The 19,687-nt window shown below is 39.7% G+C and overlaps 1 protein-coding gene across 51 annotated transcripts in view, besides 2 other annotated features; it reads right to left on the reverse strand.

The window, feature by feature from the left end:
• The window catches only part of ANKS1B (ankyrin repeat and sterile alpha motif domain containing 1B), a 1,250,151-nt gene that overhangs the window by 389,839 nt on the left and 840,625 nt on the right, over positions 1-19,687 (reverse strand). The gene's annotated exons all lie outside the window — the stretch shown is intronic.
• Positions 6,608-6,657: an enhancer, noted in NCBI's record as "active region_6849". NCBI's record gives its function as "activates an Ori minimal core promoter by ATAC-STARR-seq in GM12878 lymphoblastoid cells {active_cell/tissue: GM12878}" and the evidence as "EXISTENCE:reporter gene assay evidence [ECO:0000049][PMID:35858748]".
• Positions 7,358-7,427: an enhancer, noted in NCBI's record as "active region_6850". NCBI's record gives its function as "activates an Ori minimal core promoter by ATAC-STARR-seq in GM12878 lymphoblastoid cells {active_cell/tissue: GM12878}" and the evidence as "EXISTENCE:reporter gene assay evidence [ECO:0000049][PMID:35858748]".

The raw sequence follows: 19,687 nt of genomic DNA on the forward strand, positions 1-19,687 counted from the left end.
GCCACGGGTCTGAATAAGGACACCTAGGAAGTAAAAATGATAGAGAATAGAACACAAAGAACTGAGCCTTTGGGTAATACAATGTTAGACTTGGGAAAGATAGGGGAGGGGCATCCAAAAGGAGAGAATGAGAAGGAATGGCCTGCAAGATGGAAAAACCAAGAGATAATGGGGGTATTGGAAGAAAATTAATTCAATATGAAGGAATTTATCAGTTAAGTCAAATGCTGATGATAGGTCATATAAAATGAGGGCTGAGAATTGACAAATTCGGCAATGGGAAAGTCACTGATGACTGTAGTTAGATCACTTTTAGTAGGGTGGAAAAGAGAAAAATTTCCTGTTAAAGAGAGAATAGAGGTGAAGATGGTGATTACAAGATCTTTTGGGAGGTTTTGCTATAAAGTGAGCTGAAAAATTGGACAGTAACTGGGGGTAATGTAGGGTAAACAGAATTTTAAAAATTCAAATGAGGACTTATTGTGACATGTTTGCATGCTGATGAGGATAATCGACAGAGAGGGGAAAATTGATGATGTGCGTGAGAGCAGGGGTAGTGAAGCCTTTGAGTAGACAAGAGGGGCCACATAGTTTAAATGTGGGAAATTTCATTCATTCATTCCAAAAAGTTAAGCAAACATCTACCATGTGCCAAATACACAGCTAAGTACTAGGAACACAGAAATGAATAAAACATGGTTCCCATTATCAAAGAAGTCATTTCTTTGGGAGGGAGAATAAGCATTTTCTCTAATTAATAATTCACGTTCAATGCAGTGATGGTAATGTCAGAGAAATGTACCCAGGGCTCTTTTCTGGGATCTTTTCATTACAGCATGCTGAATCTTGGGCTGCCATGTCATTAGAAGCCTAGATTCAAGACCTTCATTTCCATCATGCATTGACATGTTCTGGGCTGTACTACTGATGAGACTGATTTAGGCAAGAGTTCTGGGCATGAATTGGTGCTGTGGCTGCACAGATAAAGTCGAGGTGATAGATTTGAGAACTGTGTGCTAGGTAAATCAGCAATCCTGGTGATTGGTTGACTTGAAGTAAGGTAAAGAAGAGGGAGGCTCAAGGATAACTCCTAGGTTTCCCATATTTAGTTTTATCCTGGAAGCGAGGATGCTGATAAACAGATTCCTAACAGGTAGCGTGGGTGGATAAGAAGAAGAATCTGGGCCCTTTTCTTAAAAAAAATTAAGGTCTGATAAATACCTGATACTTTCAAAAATATTTGAAAGCAGCCAGATATTTCTGTCTATAAAAAGAAAAAAAAAATAGACCTGATCTCTATAGGATGTCACAAACGCTCAAAAAATAAAAGATAGGAAAGACTAATAATACAATGCTAGAACACTTTTTGATACTACCTAAGAGACTTAAGAAAAAAAACACCAAACCCCCAAAACACAGAGTTCTTGGTATGATGTATTTGTTTTTCCATAGAATGGTTTGAGAAATTCAGTGAAAATTAATTGGAACATGTGGTTGTCATTCACATGGTTCCAGACTTTATGGGCTTAATAAAAACATTATGAATAGTTTTTGGAGTTTTGGGAGAAGCGAACATGGCTGGTCTAGGTATCTGCTTTTAGGTTAATCCCTCTACGCAGGAAGTTTCACAGTGTCATACAGTGCTTTTCAATTTTTCCCACTCAAATGCTCCCACTATCAGAGGGATGAGAATGAGCTTCCCTGGATGGCAGAGGAAGAAAGGGGGTAGGGTAGTCTGAGGGTGTAACTTGAAGTTTCAAGTTGCAAACATAAAGTTTCCTTTAAGTCTAGTATTTCAATTTAACAGTTTAGCAAATTTTCTGTGCAATTCCGTAAAATATTCATTTCTTTCATATAGAAATAATAGAGTCTCCCCCTCCCCCCACCTTACCCTGCTCTGAATCACTGAGTAAAACCTATGCATGGCGAAGATATGTCATGTTTTATCTCATGACTTTGATTGCATCCTTGTATCCTGTCACAAAGCAGGGGAAGGGGAAAGACACAGAACCAAGTTTCAGGAGGCCTGGACTCTTCTACGCCAGTTCGACATTTATTTTTTAATTTTCTTTGCACTCTACTTATTTCCAAGAGGAGTTTTGGAGTTGCTGTAAGACTTTTAGAAAATATAAATGATCTGTGCCTTGATTTCCTTATTTCTAAAAACAAAGAAGTTACTCTACATGATCTCTATATTCCCTTCTTATCGATTAAGAGTCTACCCACTTTTGGTCCAAGCAAAATGTTAACAGGGCTAGTGGATGGTGGTACCAAATGTATACTGGTAACCGATCAATTAACATTTTGGAAAAAATGGAATATTCAGCTAAGATTTGAGTCATGATGGAAACCTTGAATTTAAAAAAAACTAACCTTGGGAGATTATTAGAACTTAGAATCCACATATTTGACATGTGCTGTAAAAAGAGGTTATTTCTTGAGAAGTAGAATTGCAACTTTCTGCTGAAAAAATATCAATCCTCCAAGGCATCCTCAGTAAGCCCACAGGCAAACTCCCACCTCAGCAGACTGAATAATTTGCCTATAAAATATCACGTTGAATTTGGGAGGCTGAATATGGTGGGAAAAGTTTCATGTAGGAGAGGACCTGCCCTGGAGATGCTCGCTGAGGTGGCAAAGGCAACTGGACTCTCAAAGTAGTCCTCCGTTTAACAACATCCCTTTCTCAGGTACTTCTCTCATCTGCCCGATTACTTTTTTTTTTAAAGCCTGACAGGAATGATGCTTCCAGATTCTGAGATGGTAACAATGATCTAAATAGACTGTCATCATTTATCAGCATTCACAAAGAGAAAACAGCTATGAATTTCCAGTGGGAAAAAAAACTTTAGAATCAAAAAAGCAAAAGGTACATAATGCTGTATCCAGTGAAAACTTATAAAAGTGTAATGTTCGCTTTAAACACAATACACCACCCTGAGAGGGTTGCCTTCAGTAAGGAATTGTTTTCCTCTGGGAAGGAAATCACTGGCAATACCAAATCTATAAGGAGTGCCTTAGAAACTTGGCTGCACCAAGGGCCGTGTAGTTTTGGGAAAACTCAGCCTGTTTTCTTTGTCTCTAGACATTTTTTAGACTTGATAATCCCTCACATGGGTGTTGGGGTGTCTTCAAGGTCTCCAACTCTGTGCTGTACTTCGATCAGCAAATGCTTGGGGAGAATTTCTGTTTTGATTGCATCTGCCATTTGCCTCCACAAATTAGACTTTTTTAAATAAAATGTAATCCTTTTTTGCTGAGACAAGGATGAACACAATTTATTTTGAAAAGATACATAAAATGTATTATAAAAGACACAATGTGCAAACCAGAAATTGAAAACTAAAAACGAACATCACCTACACAGAAAATTCTAAGTTCTTAAACCAGTTGGTTGAACGACCTTGGGCAAGTTGTTTAACTTCTTTGAATCAATTTCTTCTTTATCTGTAAAATAAATACTTATAATCGTTTCAAGAAAGTTTATTGACTAGAATCCCTGGAGCCATTCAAACAGATTCATATTAGCCCTCAGCGTGGCTAATGGCTTCATCTCAATTCTAAGTGCGGCACATACTTTCTTGAAAGTATTGTTAAGTATTTATTTTATAGATGAAAACTGGTTAAAAACTACACAGTAGCTGCATACTGTAATGGATTCTGAAAAGGCCTAGTTCAAACTCTGACCTTCTATAAATAACATTGTGGCCTGCCATATGAAAAGACAGTATTGCTAGTGTCCTGTTGCTGCATGGGTGATGAAATTAGGACACGGACCATGAATGAGTTGCCTGATTCTGAATCAGACTATCAGGCAGTACAGAAGGATGCCTTCCTCTAAGAGTTCATTATTTCCTATTAGAATGCTGTGTGTGCTGCACATAGAATTGAGGTGGAGCCCTTAGCCACACTGATGGCTAATTTGAACCTGTTTGAATGGCTCCAGGGATTCCAGCCAATAAACAGAAACTTGTCTGTTCATCTGTACATTCCTCTCAAATTGGTTGAAATAAATCCTCAACACTTGATGTTTCTGACCTGGTTCACAGATACTCAGGAGCAGCCTGTGGTATAGCATTATGAGAAATTTTCCAGTCTGTTGAGTAGAAGTAATCCAATCCTGTCACTGTTTGTGGTAGAAAGGAGAGAGAATATAGAGATGAGATCCAAGAAAACAAGAAAAGTTCTGAGGCCTAGAAGAAGTGGAATTCTGTGGCAAAAAGTCTGGAGAAACTGAATTTGAGTTTATGGAAAAAGCCAAAAGACAGAACATCCTGGAGAATAGAGCCACTCTTTGACTGGAAGCTTGGAGGATGATTGTGAGTAGAATGGCCTATGTCTAATTCTACATGCAGGAGGATGGAGCAGGTGGGGCCGTTTCAGGGCCAGGAAAGGGTCTCCCTTCTACTGGACTGGGATGAAACAAGAGCCAAGGAACAAATTGAGTTGCAGTAGCAGATAGAGGAGGTCCAGTCTGAGGGTAAAGCATGGTGTCCAAGTAGCATTCAGCAATGGCAGAGCATAAAGTAGATAGTTCCAACTGGTAGCCCAAGATAAAGAAGCATTCAAATGTATGCCTGTGGATGGTGTTCCCTTCCCACAAGGCACAGAGGATTCTGGGTCAGGCATCACTCAGAGTTCCAGAGGGAAGGGTATACATCTGTCAATGCATAGCAGGTCTCAGTTATTCAGCCCAAAGCAAACCATTGGCTAAAACCTTTGATAAAAAGAAATGTGACATGTAGCATGGAGGGTGGGGCAAGACTGAGGCTCAGGAATGGGACAGGGCCTGTCAGAATTACCAGAAGTGAGGCAGCACCACAAGACTAGATCAGCAGCAAGAGTTATTTGAGGTGCAGTCACAAAAGGTGAGTTAGAATTTAAATACATGCCACTTTGGGTCTGATTTGGTCTTAAGTGTGTAGGCCAAGGCTCAGTCTTGAGGTAGAGCATGATCTCATTTGTGGTAAGTTGAGAGTATGCTGAAATTCAGCATGAAAATGGAGATCAGAGATCCTCCACCTTGCTGTCAGTCTAGACAGAGACTGAAAAACTGGGTTAAAACTTTAAAGTCTTTATATCTTGGATATGGAGATAAACAAGGTAATACTGCCTGGATAAATAGGGGAAGAAGCTATCAAAATGGTATTGATCTTTCCATTTAAGACTATCTATTACCATTCATCTCTTCAACATTTGAAAAGATGTTCAGTATAACATTGGGATTTTAAGTGATGATTGTATCAAAAAATGATAAGTTTAAAACATTTTAAACTTATCAGTGCACAAGAACGGGATGAATGCTTATCCAGTATTTCTTTCTGTATTTATTATTTGAGTAAATCATGAGTAATAGGTTGGTCCCTTATTTAAAATTTTAGTTATGGTCAATTTTAAGAGGAACACAATAATCTTTTTTTTTGTCTTCTGTACAGTTATATCAATTTTAGCAGTTTGGTGTCTAGTTTTACCAATGCTATTTTATGATCTTTGCCATTTGCCATGGTACAATGTGTTTAAATGGCACATCAAGGTATACTGATGGTTGCCATTTGCTTAATAACTTAAAAGTAATCCAGCAATTTCTTCCACTTTTATTTCTTAACATATGATTTTGTTTTGTGAAACATGAAAGATGAGTCTTATATTTAGGAACCATTTGGTTGGGAAGCTGGGAGAGTAAAATTTAATTGATTTTTTTTCTTCTGCAGCTCTTGAAGAAATAGCATGTGAATCCAGATTAGGTGGCATCATGTATATTTTTGTAAAAGGAATTTTTACTTGCTTAGGCTGAATTCATCCTTATAAGCCTCCCTCAGCCATCCTTAATTCCTCCCTTTCTCTCACTCCTGAAGTCAAGGATTACTATGTTTTATTCCTTTTTCTGCTGCAATATCCCGGACTCTTCTCTGTCCATCACTATAGCCACATCAGCTAATAAGCTCCTCTTCCTGTGTCCTTCTTCCCTCTCTACTCATCCTCTATAGTGCCATCAAAGTCAGAGTATTAATAAACAAATCCTGACATGTCAGTGTGCTTACTCCCCACATTTTGAACGGATTAAGTTCAAATGCCTCACAGGATGGCATTTGAGGTGCTGATCCTAATTTATCTTTCTAACCTTGTTTCTTGCCTCTTTCTTCCATTCCTCACATGCAAACACTGAACTCCAGTAACACCACTTTGTCTTCTCAACATACTCTGCACTATTGTGTCTTCATGCCCCTTGGTACATGCTATTTCCTCTGCCCAGATATTCTTCCTGGGCTTCTGTACCTGTTGACCCCTTCAACTCATCCTTTAAGGACTGGTTCAAAGACCACTTCTGTGACATCATCCCTGATTCCCACAGAGTTAAACAAGACTTCTATGACACGCCACAGCATCTGAAATACATCTGTGCTGGAAACTTCTACTATATTGCCTTGTAATGATTTGTTAGTGAACCTCTCTCTTCCACTTGGTCTGTAGCTCCAGAAAACCAGTGGCTGTTTGTTGCCTACTCGTCTTTGCTTTATTCTTCCTTCTGCCTGTCCACCTGCTCTCCCAACATCCAGGGGCCAGGACAGTCCCTGGCACACAATGAACACCCAACAAACACTTGGTTTAAGCAATGAATTATTATCTTGCACGAGATTTCATGAGTCTCTTTAGTTTTGCTTTCTTAACTTACTTAATGCTTATTAAGATGACTTTTCACTTTCAGTTCTTCCTGTTTGATTCCAGTTCTTAGTCATGTCTTCCCCTTGGCACAAAACTGATTGAGCAATATATGCTGAAGCCTCACTCTTCAAATTTCATGACAAAGTCTGAGGGTCCCAGGACTTTGGCCAAGCACAAATAGTAAGTGTCTGGGAGGCATCAACTAAATTATCTGCCAGTGAAAATGCTCTGTCTTCTTTGTCTCAGTTGTTTATGCAGAACAACCAACCGTTCCTGTAAAGTTATTTTTCCTAATTTTTAGCCTAAACTTTTCAATAGATACAGGCCATTTCTCCCTGTCTCCTCCTATCTCCTCATCTTCTGAGACTGTAAATTATCCTGTAACTTCATTTATAATGGGAACATATTTATTTTCTGTGATGATGGCTCCCCTGAGCCTTTCTTTTTCTTAGCTACATAAAGTTAACTTCCTCTGTGGCAAATTAAGGACAGATTACAAGCAGCCTGGGAACCGGGCTCCGTCACCACAGGGGGCCGCCTACTCAGCCTCCTTCTGTTCAGCCATGGGAAAGATGCAGCTGCTAAGCCAGCCGGGTGCTGGGCTGCTCTCCCCCTGCCTCTCCTGATCCCTCGGAGGGAGTTGAGAAGTCCCTTTCTCCATCAGTCTCTGGTTGGTGTCTGATGCTCTGTTTTCTAGCCTCTCTTCTTCTGCTCCTCCCCTCCCCCAGCTGCCTACCAACTCCTTCCCACCCCCAGGCCAGCAGTGACTGCCTCCAAGACTCCCCCTCCTTCCAGCACCGCCTCATGGTTTCCATGGCAACAGAAAATGTTGGTGGGAAGCAAAAATGCTGAACTGCAACTCGTGTTGGGGCTGGGAGGAGGAGGTGAAATGTGGGCCTCTCTGGAGGCTGTAGAAAGGTGGGGAGAAAGAAGCCAGGTGAGAAGCCCTGAGAAGAAAGGACCACGAGGCTCGAAAGGAAGGTGCATTGGCAAGCGGGGATCACTTTGATCAGAAAAATCAGCTAGGAGGAAGAAATAGGAAAGAGTTATAAAAAGTAATAGAGAATCCTGGGCCGGGTGAAGTGGCTCACACCTGTAATCCCAGAACTTTGGGAGGCTGAGATGAGAGGACTGCTTGAGCCCAGGAGTTTGAGACCGGCTTAGACAACATAGCGAGACCTTGTCCCCGCCTTCAAAAAAAAAAAAAAGTAATGAAGAATCCTATATATAGTGGTTGATTGAGGGATTACGTTAGGTATAAAACTGGGAATAGGTGACTTTATATTGAAGGTGAGTAGTGAAAGTCAACAAACATAGTGGCCAAAAAAAGGGGGGCTTGAGAGTTTAACAATAATATACATACATGAAAAACAAAAGTAATATTAACAGATCTGGGCTTGTAAATTAACTATTGTCCTTACTTATCAGCCAAGTGTTACTTATCTTCTCTGAGCCTTAGTCTTCTTTTTGCTTGTCTATTAATATAGTGTTATCAATATCCACCTCAAAAAGTTGTTGTGAGGATCAAGTTTAAATAAAGCACATAAAGTGGCCACTCATATAGCAGGTAAGGTAGGAATTTTTCTTTTAACCATTGTATGAGGTTGAGGAATGGTACTTCAAATGGGTCTTGGAGCTGGAAACTTAAAATTCATTGAAAACTGTGCCTTGTCATATATTTGATTTTTGTATTTATTTCAATTTTCCATATCTCTTAAGTATATGGCAACATGGTTTTTTTTTTTCTTTTTTTTCTTTTTCTTTCTTTCTTTTTTTTTTTTTGAGACAGAGTATTGCTCTGTCGCCCAGGCTGGAGTACAGTGGTGCGATCTCGGCTCACTGCAACCTCTGCCTCCCAGGTTCAAGCAATTCTTCCGCCTCAGCCTCCCAAGTAGCTGGGATTACAGGAACATGCCACCACGCCCAGCTATTTTTTTGTATTTTTAGTAGAGACAGGGTTTCACCATGTTGGTCAGGCTGGTCTCAAACTCCTGACCTCAGGTGATCCACCTGCCTCGGCCTCCCAAAGTGCTGGGATTACAGGCGTGAGCCACCATGCCCAGCCAGCATCATGTGACTACGTCCCTAAGTACATAGTACCATGGCAATATTTAGTGTTAACCCCTTCATAAAAAATAAGAAGAACCATCCTTTCCTTTTAAATAACCTCCCTGTCTGTGCTTTTCAAGAAGCCTGTGGTGTTGACTCATTCTCTCTCCTTTACAGCCACAATATTGTTGGCATCATAACTTCTCATTTCTTTTCTCTCTCTTCAGTGAAAGGGGTTGCTGCAGAAATTATGTTCTAAACCCACAATCATGTTTATAATGGTCCACGAATATTTTTTGACTGAATGTCTGTGTCATCACTTCCTTCAGAAGTCCAAGGCAAGAAAAGCTAAGAAGTTGTGGCCCAACTAGAGATGCCCATAAGCCTATTTACTCCGGGCTGTCTCTTTGCAATCTTAGAAGATGTCAAGTTACTGCAGAGGCTCTACTTCATGCCTCCTTTTCCTGAAATTGGGACAATAATAGCAACGATGATAACTAGCGCCTGAACTTGTTGTTCCAAAGTGCCTGACATGAATGGAATCATATAAACTTCAACTCAACCCAATGGAATTAGCATGTTGTTACCGTGACGGTTTCCACATGTGGAAACTGAAGCACAGAGACATTAAGTAATTTTCTTAAGGTAATATACCTCGTAAGTTTCAGGGCTGGAATTTGAATCTAGGCAGAATCTACCTCCTTAATCATCTCCACTGTGCTACCCTCTAGGGAAGAAATATCTGGAACTGTGGCTTGATGATATTACTACTGCTTTTTATAGACAACGATTTTTTTCCTCACTTGGTATCATCTAATGAATAAAGAAGGAACGTGTTACTGTACTTCTATTTCAAGATGTGTACTGAGCCCATTGGTTTATCTTTTTTCTCCTCTTAGATCCCAGTAAAAAAAGCTAAAAAAAGAATTCATGATCTAACAATAATGAGGATAATTGGAGAAAAGCTATATGGATCTGGGAGATTTCAATAAATTTCCAGAAGTCAGAAAGAGCGTGGAAAGATGATGCAGTGGGGCAGAGGTAGCTTTGGGCTAGTGTGTTTGCAGAGGGTCCTGAATCAAAAAAAGAGCCCAAGTTGCCCATCAGAACCTCGGAAGTTTCAGTCTGAGAGAATGGAGATGGGATGGAGGAGGAGATAGAGAAGTGAGTAGAAAATGAGGATGAATTTAAAGGTCTGTGTATTGAACAGCTGCCCACCTGCCTGTAACACACATATCCCCACCCCAATCTCTCTTTCTCTCTCTGTTTCTCTCTGTCTCTATCCCTTTCTGTCTCTCTCTCTCTCTCTCACACACACACACACACACACACACACACACACACACACACACACACACACACACCAGGCATTTACCCTCCATTCTCAGGTCAAAAAGGAAGTAAGGCTAACTCTCTAAAGACATTTTAAAAAGCCTTTCTGGGGAGAGCTGGAGCAACTAGTACAGTGGTGTTTGGGACACCCTGATCATTATAGGGACATTCTGCTCACCACAACACAAAACCTGGAAATTAAAAAAAAATGCACACAGAATTTCCAGTTTGCTTTTCCATTGCCTCTTCCTGAAATATGAACAGAAAATCACAAACTACAGTCATTAGAGGATAGCTTTTAGCACGAGCGACAAAGATCAAATGGGAAATAATGCACAGCAGAAAAACTAACTCAAAAGACAATTCCAATAATCTCAATATAAAAATAACTAACCTCTAACTGGTGTTTCTAACAGGTTCAAAACAATACATCAGAGGAAAAAGAAAAGGGTGCCAAAAAAGGAATAGAGAAAAAGAGCCTTGAGAAATTGAAAATATTATTGCCAAAATTTTAAAAATCTATTTAAACATTGAAAGCAATCTCCTAGAGTGTAAGATGAAAATACAAAGAGTTGGTAAATGTGAGCACAAGGATAAAAGACATGGAGGAATGATGGAAGAAATCCAACACCTGCCTAGGAAGATTTCACAAAAAAGGCAATTGAAACGAAGAGATAGATAGAAATGATCAAAGAAATAATAGAAGGGAATTTCCCAAAATGTACCTTTATATTTAAAGTGCCTACCAAGTGTGGAACAGGATGAAAAAGACACCCACTCAGTCACATCTTAGTGACACATCAGGACACTGAGGATAAAGAGAAGATCCTGAAACTTCCAGAGAGGGAGAAAGGTCACCGATAAAAGAAACAACGTCAGACTCCTCATCAAACACATCAAACACTGTAAGACAAGAGAGCATTGTCTTCCATACTCAGAAAAATTACATCCGGCCTTGAATGACATACTAAGCCACGCTATTAATCAACCACAGGGGCAGAATATGGGCATTTTTAGATTCACAAAGGGTTAGAAATTAATCTTTCATGTATTTCTCAGCTGTTTCTTTTATAAACAGTTATTTGAATGTGTGCTCTGGCAATATGAAAAATGACACAGGGAGGAAAGCATCCAAGAAACAGTGGATTCAATGGAGGACTGCAATGAAGAGAGTCCCAAAATGATGAATGTGTGGCAGTCTCAGAGAACAGGTCCAGCTTCGGACAGGAAGACTAAGGATTAATGTGTGGCAGTCTCAGAGAACAGCCCAGCTTCGGACAGGAAGACTAAGGAGATGGGTCCCAGGAAAAATGTAGATCAGAAAAACAGATAGTATGATGGAGACTATGAAAATCTTAAGGATAAAGTAAAGATAGGAAATGCAAGATGAAGGAAAAGTAATCAGAGATGACAGGAAAGATTAAACAGGGTTAAAGATTAAACAAGATTAAAAAAGGTAAGTTCTAGGATAACTCTAATGTTCCCAGTAACTGTGCAAATGGGTGTAACCATCATTATCATGGGTGCCCTGCCTCTCAGGACCCAGGTATGGGGTTTTCATTCTTGATACGGCTTCCCACACCCCACGAGTTGGCATAGAAGCAGAGAAATACTTTCAGGTCCCAATGCAAGCTTGGATGCTGAGGACTTCAGCAGGGACCACCATACAGTACAGATTTCCCTGTGTGCCTGGCAGCACTAAGGTCTCTAGTATTATGGGGTGACAACAGGAGAAGCCAATCCAGATGGCAATGGAATTTCATGCTGGCTTTGCCATGGAGTAAAAACTAAGTTGACTTGAAACACACACACAAAAAAATTATATTTTGTCGCACTTGAATTTGTGGGCTAAGATTCAGTTTGCAACTGTAGTGTGGGTAGAGGAATTAGGAGAGAGAAGAGATGATAGTATTGACAATGTAAATCCTCATCTCTCACATCAGAATGTCAGTAAATAATATCTAAAGTTGATAAAGCCAAAATTAAGGGCATTTGCATGTTATATGGAGATAACCACCAGAAGGACTAAGCACAGAAATATTGAAAGTATTTGCTTTTGGAGAGTGGGGCTGGGAACAGGGAGAAGAATGCAGGAAATGGTTTGTATTAAAGTTTTATTTGTATATTTGTTTGAATGCTTGAAAATTATATATGTATTATTTCATTTTTTTTAAAGTGTGCTCCTTTCTGTCAATTTTACTCTCCTTGCTACAGTGTAGTTAAGTTGTCCTTGGCATCATTGTTCCTGTGTCTATGTAGACCACCTGTTTTGGAAGAAGGTGAGGTTATCAATCAAACGGCTAACCAGTCACAGGCATCTACTCATTCACTTGCTAAGCTCCTTCCTCATTCTCGTTTCCAAGAGTGCTTTCAAGGACACAAGAGAAGACCCTATTTAGTGCTGTCATTGTCTTGGTTGTGCGGTAACAGGAAGCAGAGAAGCCTTAATTTTTAGCATCTAGACTTCAGCTCCAAATACTGCCATTGAAATGGGAAGCTCTGATTACAGCTTCTAAAGTGCACTGTTTTCTCTGTGCTACAGAACTGTCTTCTGAATTAGTATCAATAAAACGCTTTCTAACAGGATCTTTGACACCAGAAGTCACCACTGATGCCAATGTAATTACCATCCCTGGACGCTAGGCCTTGTCAGGCAGCACAGATAATCACCTACAACCAGGGGCCAACGATTACCCAGTCAGTCAACGACATTGACTGCTCACTGGGAGGTTCTGCACGAGTAAGAGAGAGGAGAACTGCAATGTCCTTTCCTCAAAGTACTTCAAACTAAACAGGGCTGAGGGTGTGGAGGGGAAGGAAAGCAGAGATTCACACACATCAAAAGACAGAAATAAACAAACCTATCCATTCTCAGTTACACAGAGAGGGCTGTGGAGATCTGAGTTGGCGCAGAATAAAAATGGACTTTTGCATCGCCTGGCCCCTGTTTGGTAAAAACCTCCTTGGTTTTATGTATTTCCTCTTTTCATTTTTTTTAAATGGTGTTATGTATTTCCTCTTTTCATTTCTTCCCCTGCCCACTAACTGGGCTCAACTACTGAATAACCCCTGTGTGCCATGCTTTTTCTGTGCTTCCATACTAATTATATGCTGTTCCGCTTGCCTGAAAGCTGTTCCTATCACTCAGCCCTTTCAGCTTGCAAATTTTTCTAATCTATCAAGAGGTAAACCTGACCTCTTCTGTGGAGCCTTGCCTGATTCACTCCATTTTAATTCCAATCAGTTACAGTGCTGTGAGCTTTGTGAGAGGAGGGACAGAGTATATTATCATTTGAAAATAATTAAAATTGTTAATAGATGTAAAACACTTAGAATAGTGGTGCCTGAAATGTAAGCAAATGTGTTTATTATTATTATTATTAGCATCATTACTATGATCAATGTTTGTATTTAGAAGCCCTAGCATAACATCTGGCATATGAAAGTGGAAACTAAGCAAATGTTTCTTTGTTTGAATTCTTGGAACATTTCAGACAAACTGAGTTTTATTGATGAGAAGGTTGATGGGTTTTCTTGGCAGTGGTCATTATTCCAAGGTGAAAGTGAGGATTATTGCTTTAGCTATTGCAACTGAGAACACAGAATATCTTTTAAGAAGCAGAAGCTCTAATAGGTGAATAAATCATTTTGGAGGATAGGAGGATATTCCAGATGATATGAAACTATTGAAAACAGATTTGCTGTTGGTTTTCAGAAAATGTACTAGCCCTCAGGAAGATGGGCTTGTTTGGAGAGATACCTAATGTAACACAAATAACTTCATTTTCTTCAGCATTATCTGGAATAGATGGTTAATTAGTCTCAGACAGCTGTTTCCATACTCACCCGCCTTTGCTGTCTGTGTGATGTGCACGTGTGTGCTGTCATCTGGGTGAGCCTATCTGGGCACAGTGACGGGTCATTAAGCTGTCTTCTCATATGGTGCATGTATAGTGTCTGAAGCACAGTTTCAGGAGACAGGTAACACTTCCACTCAGAGAGGCATTACATGACCCCTAGGGTTGTCAATAGATCCGTAGCTCTTTTGCTCTTCAAACACTACATGCATTTTGACATCTCACCATCTTTGTTCATTGTTCCATTCACTGTTATGTCCTTCACCCCGTTCTTTACTGCTTACATAAATACACTCAAGCCCACTTCCTCCAGAGATTTCACCATCACTCCAGCTCATAGATATCTCTTCCATCTCCATCATATTCAGCTTGCTTTCTTCTTTCTTTGTCTCTCCCTTTCTCCCTTTCTCTCTTTCTTTTTCTTTCTCTCTCTTTTTTCTTTTTCTCTCTGTCTCCCTCCCTCCCTCCCTCAACCTCTCTCTCTCTATTTTTCTGAAACAGAGTTTCACTCAGTTTCCCAGGCTAGAATGCAGTGGTGTGCTCAGAGTTCACTGAAGCCTTGAACTCTTGAGCTTAAGCAATCCTTGCGCCTCAGCCTCTCAAGCTGCTGGGACTATAGGCCACCATGCCCAGCTAATCAATCTTTCTTTCTTTCTTTCTTTTTCTCTTTGTTTTTCTTTCCTTCCTTCCTTCTCTTTCTTTCCTTCCTTCCTTCTCTCTTTCTTTCTTCTTCCTCTCTTTCCTTTCCTTTCTTCCTTCTTTCTTCTCTTTCTCTCTCTCTCCTTCTCCCCTTCTCTCCTTTCTCTCTTTCCCTACCTTCCCTCCCTCCCTCCCTCCCTCCCTCCCTCCCTCCCTCCTTTCTTTCTTTCTTTCTTTCTTTCTTTCTTTCTTTCTTTCTTTCTTTCTTTCTTTCTTTTTCTTTCTTTCTTTCTTTCAAGATAGGAGTCTCACTGTGTTGCTCAGACTGGTCTTCAACTCCTGGTCTCAGGCAATGCTCCTGATTCAGCCTTCCAAACTGGCTGGGATTACAGGTGCAAGCCACTGTGCGCAGCCAGTCATAGATTTCTAACACTAATTTCTCCAATAGTTACATTTTATATTGTGAAAACACTTACATTGTTGGCTTTTATTAACATTTGAATGTGATTTGCTATTTGCTGTTAAGTATGCTAGTCTTAGCTCCCTGAGTAGACTGTTGGATCTTTAAGCAGATGCTGTACTATGGCTCTTTGTAGTTTCTACCACATTTAGCACAGTTAGATGAGTATATAGGTACTTAATAGGTGTTCCCTTAGGAATGAATGGATAACCCTCCTGGGATCCATTCAAAAGGATTCTCCTGAGAACTCCTTAACAAAGGCTTATCTACTTTCTAGTTTAGACTGTCAACACATGCTAAAGGATAAAAGATGCAGATTTGAAACACATAGATTTACATTTTAAAATGCTGTGGCATATTTGTTAATATACTTCACAGTCTGAATGCAAGTTTAGGTTAGTTACCCTTGAGGACAAAGCTACTAGACTCTCGAGGATTCAAATAGTCTCATAAAAATCATCACAATGTTATCATTGGTAGTTAAGGGAACATTTTATAATAAGTGGGTGTCTTTGAGCATGTTTCCTAGGGAAAGTGCTAAGTGCAATCTAGTCCATGGAAGTCCCACAGTACTCTGCGAACAACCTGCACTACTTCATGGCCACTTCACCTGAATGGCTCAGTTCTTTGAGTGTCCATGTAGTCAACTAATCAGTCTGTGGTGAGTAAGAGTAAATTAAGGTGACTAACTTTCCAAAGTCCTTTAAAGTTATTTGATTTAAGGTCGCTGAGCTAGGTGGTTTATGGATATTTCAGTATTCCTGGAATAATTCATGTAAGCTTTTTCCTTGTATCCAATATATTATGAGGGTAAGAGCAATGAAGCCCTGTGCCAATTTCTCCATTTCACTGGCTAATCAGTAATTCTAACATTGTTTGCCAGCTAAATGGAACAGGCACTCTTGTCACCATCATGATTCATTGCCTACTGAAAGCACAGAGCTGGCCTTAATCTAATTCTTAATAAAACCTTGCGAACTAGGTATACTGTCTCAATTTGCACACGGAAAACAGATGTTCACGAAGGTTGAGGGACTGGCCCACGATCTCACACCAAGTAGGTAAAGAACCATGGAAGCAATTCTGTGCCTTAAAGTGCAATTGTCTTTCTAATTCCTGTGGAGCATGATTGTCTTTTCCATGCTGAATCTAATGATTACAAATATCAAATGAGCCCTAAGCATGGCCCTGTAATCCTACTCCATTCTCCTAGTAAACTCTCCTTCCCACTCTCTGAAACAACTTTTTAATATCTTCTCTATCCTTATATCTTCTACATCCTTACAGCATTATTCACTAGAAAACAGAAACCATCAGAAGAAACATATTTCCATATTCTCAATGCCTCATATACCAGTCATGATGGTACCCACTCTCTCTGTCTTCCCTCCTGTTATCACAGGAATGTCCCCATTAGCAACCAACTCTCCACTTGGCTCTGGATCCCAACCTCTCTCATCTTTATTCTTTCCATCCTTCTTTCTTTTCCAATATCAATACCTCTTTTTCTACCTAATCATTCCTTTCAGTAGCCAAACATGACTCCAGTCTCTCCTGTTTTAAAAAATTCTTCCCTTTGCCCCACAAGTCACCCTTTAGCTATTAGTGTATTTCCGTACTCCCATTATCAGAAAAACTTCTTTTGACAGTTGTCTACTACTTCTTCTATCCAATGCAACATGGCTTCCGTGGCTCTCATTTCACAGAATGTGCTCTTGTTAAGTTCTCCAGGAGCCTCTGTGTTGCCAAATTCAGTGGCTACTTCTCTAGTCTCATTTCTTTTTTTTTTTTTCACCTTCAACTTTTATTTTAAGTTCCTAGGGTATATGTATAGGATGTGCAGGTTTGTTACATAGGTAAATGTATGTCTTGGTGGTTTGCTGCACAGATCAACCAATCACCCAGGTATTAAGCCCAGCATACCTTAACTATTCTTCCTGATGCTCTCCCTCCCCCAACCCCCACCCCTGATAGGCCCCAGTGTGTGTTGTTCCCCACCATGTGTCCATGTGTTCTCATCATTCAGCTCCCATTTATAAATGAGAACGGGCAGTGTTTGGTTTTCTGTTCCTGTGTTAGTTTGCTGAGGATAATGGCTTCCAGCTCAATCCACATCCCTGCGGAGAACATGTTATCATACCTTTTCATGGCTGCATAGTATTCTATGGAGTATATGTACTACATTTTCTTTTTCCAGTCTATCATTGATAGGCATTTCGGTTGATTCTCATTTGATCTCTCATCAGCATTCTACCTAACTGATAACTTTCCCATGGAGCAAGTTTTTCCCATGGAGCAAGCTTTCCCATGGAGCAAGCTTTTGGTAGCATTCTACCTGATAACTTTCCCATGGAGCAAGCTTTCTAAACACTTTGAGTTTGAGGGGTCAGTAGAATATATAGGAGGTAGAAAACTTTGCTTCTGTTGAGTATCGGTGAAGTAACCTAAGGTGAAAGTGCAGAGTGAGAAGAGAAGAGACTCAAGGGCTAAGCCTGAGGGTACAGGCGGAAGCAGGGAGGGCTACAAGGAAGACTGAGAAGGTAGGAGGAGATAACAGAGACAAGGTTAGAAGTCAAGGACAAAAAGAGTTGTCATAAAAAAAAAAAAGTGGTCAGAATCAAAGGCCAGAGAAAGATCGGGTAAACAGGGACTAGTAAAAGTATATTGTCTTTGGCAATTGAGAGTTTATTGGTTGCCATTTATAAATAATTTCAGGATGATGACAGAGGCTGATGGTATTAAGGCCTGATTGTATTTTTCTGAAGAGCAAACCAGCAAGTGTAGGCATTATTTTGGGAGGCTTGGTTATGAAGGGAAGAAGAGTAAGTGGATAGTGTCTAGAGCAGAATAAGAATTGAGGAAGGTTTTGAAAAAAAATCAGGTTATATCTGAGTTTGCTCAGAGAGGGTAGAGAAGAAGGCTTCCCTAATATCACAGCATTATGCAAGAACTAAAAATAGAATCTATTTCTTCTGCCTCCAAGATAATTGAGATAATACATGTGTAAGAGTTTAAAAAACTATAAAGTACAATAAGAATTTGATATAGTGTTCTTCTTTCCACTATATTACAATTAATTACCAGGAAGTCAATGGATTGCATTTTTAACTATATAACACACCCTTTACCCCACTCCCTGCAACAAGAACCTCACTGCTATTTATTCAGCAGTTCTTAAATGATTGATTTGTTGTGGATGATCTTTTGCTTGCTTCCTTTTGAAACAGTGAGGGATTTCTGGATGTTTGCCAGCCTGAATATTCCTGTTTACTTGTCTTAGGCTAACAGATAACTGGATGGGCCATATTGTTATACAGGCCTGATGAATGCCAAATGTTCAGCTCTATCTCTACAGGATTACACCTTTCTGAAAAAAGAATGTATAATATAACTTCTGTCAAATAAACTTGAGATACATTTGTTTCTAGTCCTCAGATTTCAAGATCTCCCTTAAGACTTTGGAAGGACAAGCCTAATTCTCTTTGCCAGGCATGAAACCAGACATTAGCTTATAAACTCAAGATGTTCCATAATTCTTTCAATATGAATTCTAATTATCTTTGCTCCTTCTAAGAGAAGGTAAAAGTATAACAATGTGAAATCTAATTCTATGGACTCAAGGGGCAGAAATCAGTGACCTGATATTCAGAGGCCTATATTAATTATCCATTTTATTTTTCTCACCTCTGTAATTTGTAAGTAGAGTTGCAAGGGCTCTTGTTCTTCAGTTACTATTTTAGATCATACACTCTCAAATGAATGGATAGTTCTCAATGCCTGCGATGCGCTTGATTCACACAGACTAGCCTAGGTTGTCTGAAATGAAGTCAGGGAGACGCATGCAATGACCTGTAAGGTGTTGTTTCTGTGTCTTTGTAGCCTGAGTTTTCTTGTGGATAAAAATCTATAGCCTTTTATTATGACAGCTCATTACACCACAGAAAAAACTAAACTGAAAGATAGATCATGTCTTCCATGATCACTGCTACTGTTTGATGTGGTGTCTCCTGCATGAATGAAATGACTGCCACTCAGAAGGTCTCATGGTCTGAGAACAAACTTGACCTGGAAATTCATCTGTATTTTTACAACCCTGTGTATGGTGAGAAAGTTTCCTTAGTCTAGACTGCTTAATATCTGTATAAGGCCATTTTTTTCTTCTCTCTCACCTCTCTTGTTGATACTCCTCTGAATCATCATCCACCCAAGATCAAGGAATGCTCACGCTACTTTTGTTTGTCCAGGGCTCAGATCTTTCTCAGCTCACTCAGATATGTTGCCCCAGTATCTCTTATTGAAAACTTTTCCCTATGGACTCAGATTGACCTCAGTTTAAATCTTCAGTGCTTTGGACCATATATTTAGTCTTTCTATAACTAAGTTTTGCCCTTGTAAAACTGGAATAATACTACATACTGTGTAACATTTGTGAGGGGGTAAAGATAATGTATGTGATAATCATATAACAAGTTCTTGATAAACAATAGTTATATTATTAAATTGGCTATATTTTTTTTCTTTCTATAAAACATTACTTGCCTAATCATCAATTTCCTTGGAGTGCTTCTATCAGGTAGTTATCAAGTGTAAGGATGGAACCCAAATAAATATTTCTTGTAAGTGTGATTTATTTAGGTACTGGAAGAGGCTGCAAAATAAAATGGAAAGAGTGTAGGGCTAGAAAGGT

Source organism: Homo sapiens, chromosome 12 (assembly GCF_000001405.40).
Source record: "Homo sapiens chromosome 12, GRCh38.p14 Primary Assembly".
In the NCBI taxonomy this organism is placed as follows: domain Eukaryota; kingdom Metazoa; phylum Chordata; class Mammalia; order Primates; family Hominidae; genus Homo; species Homo sapiens.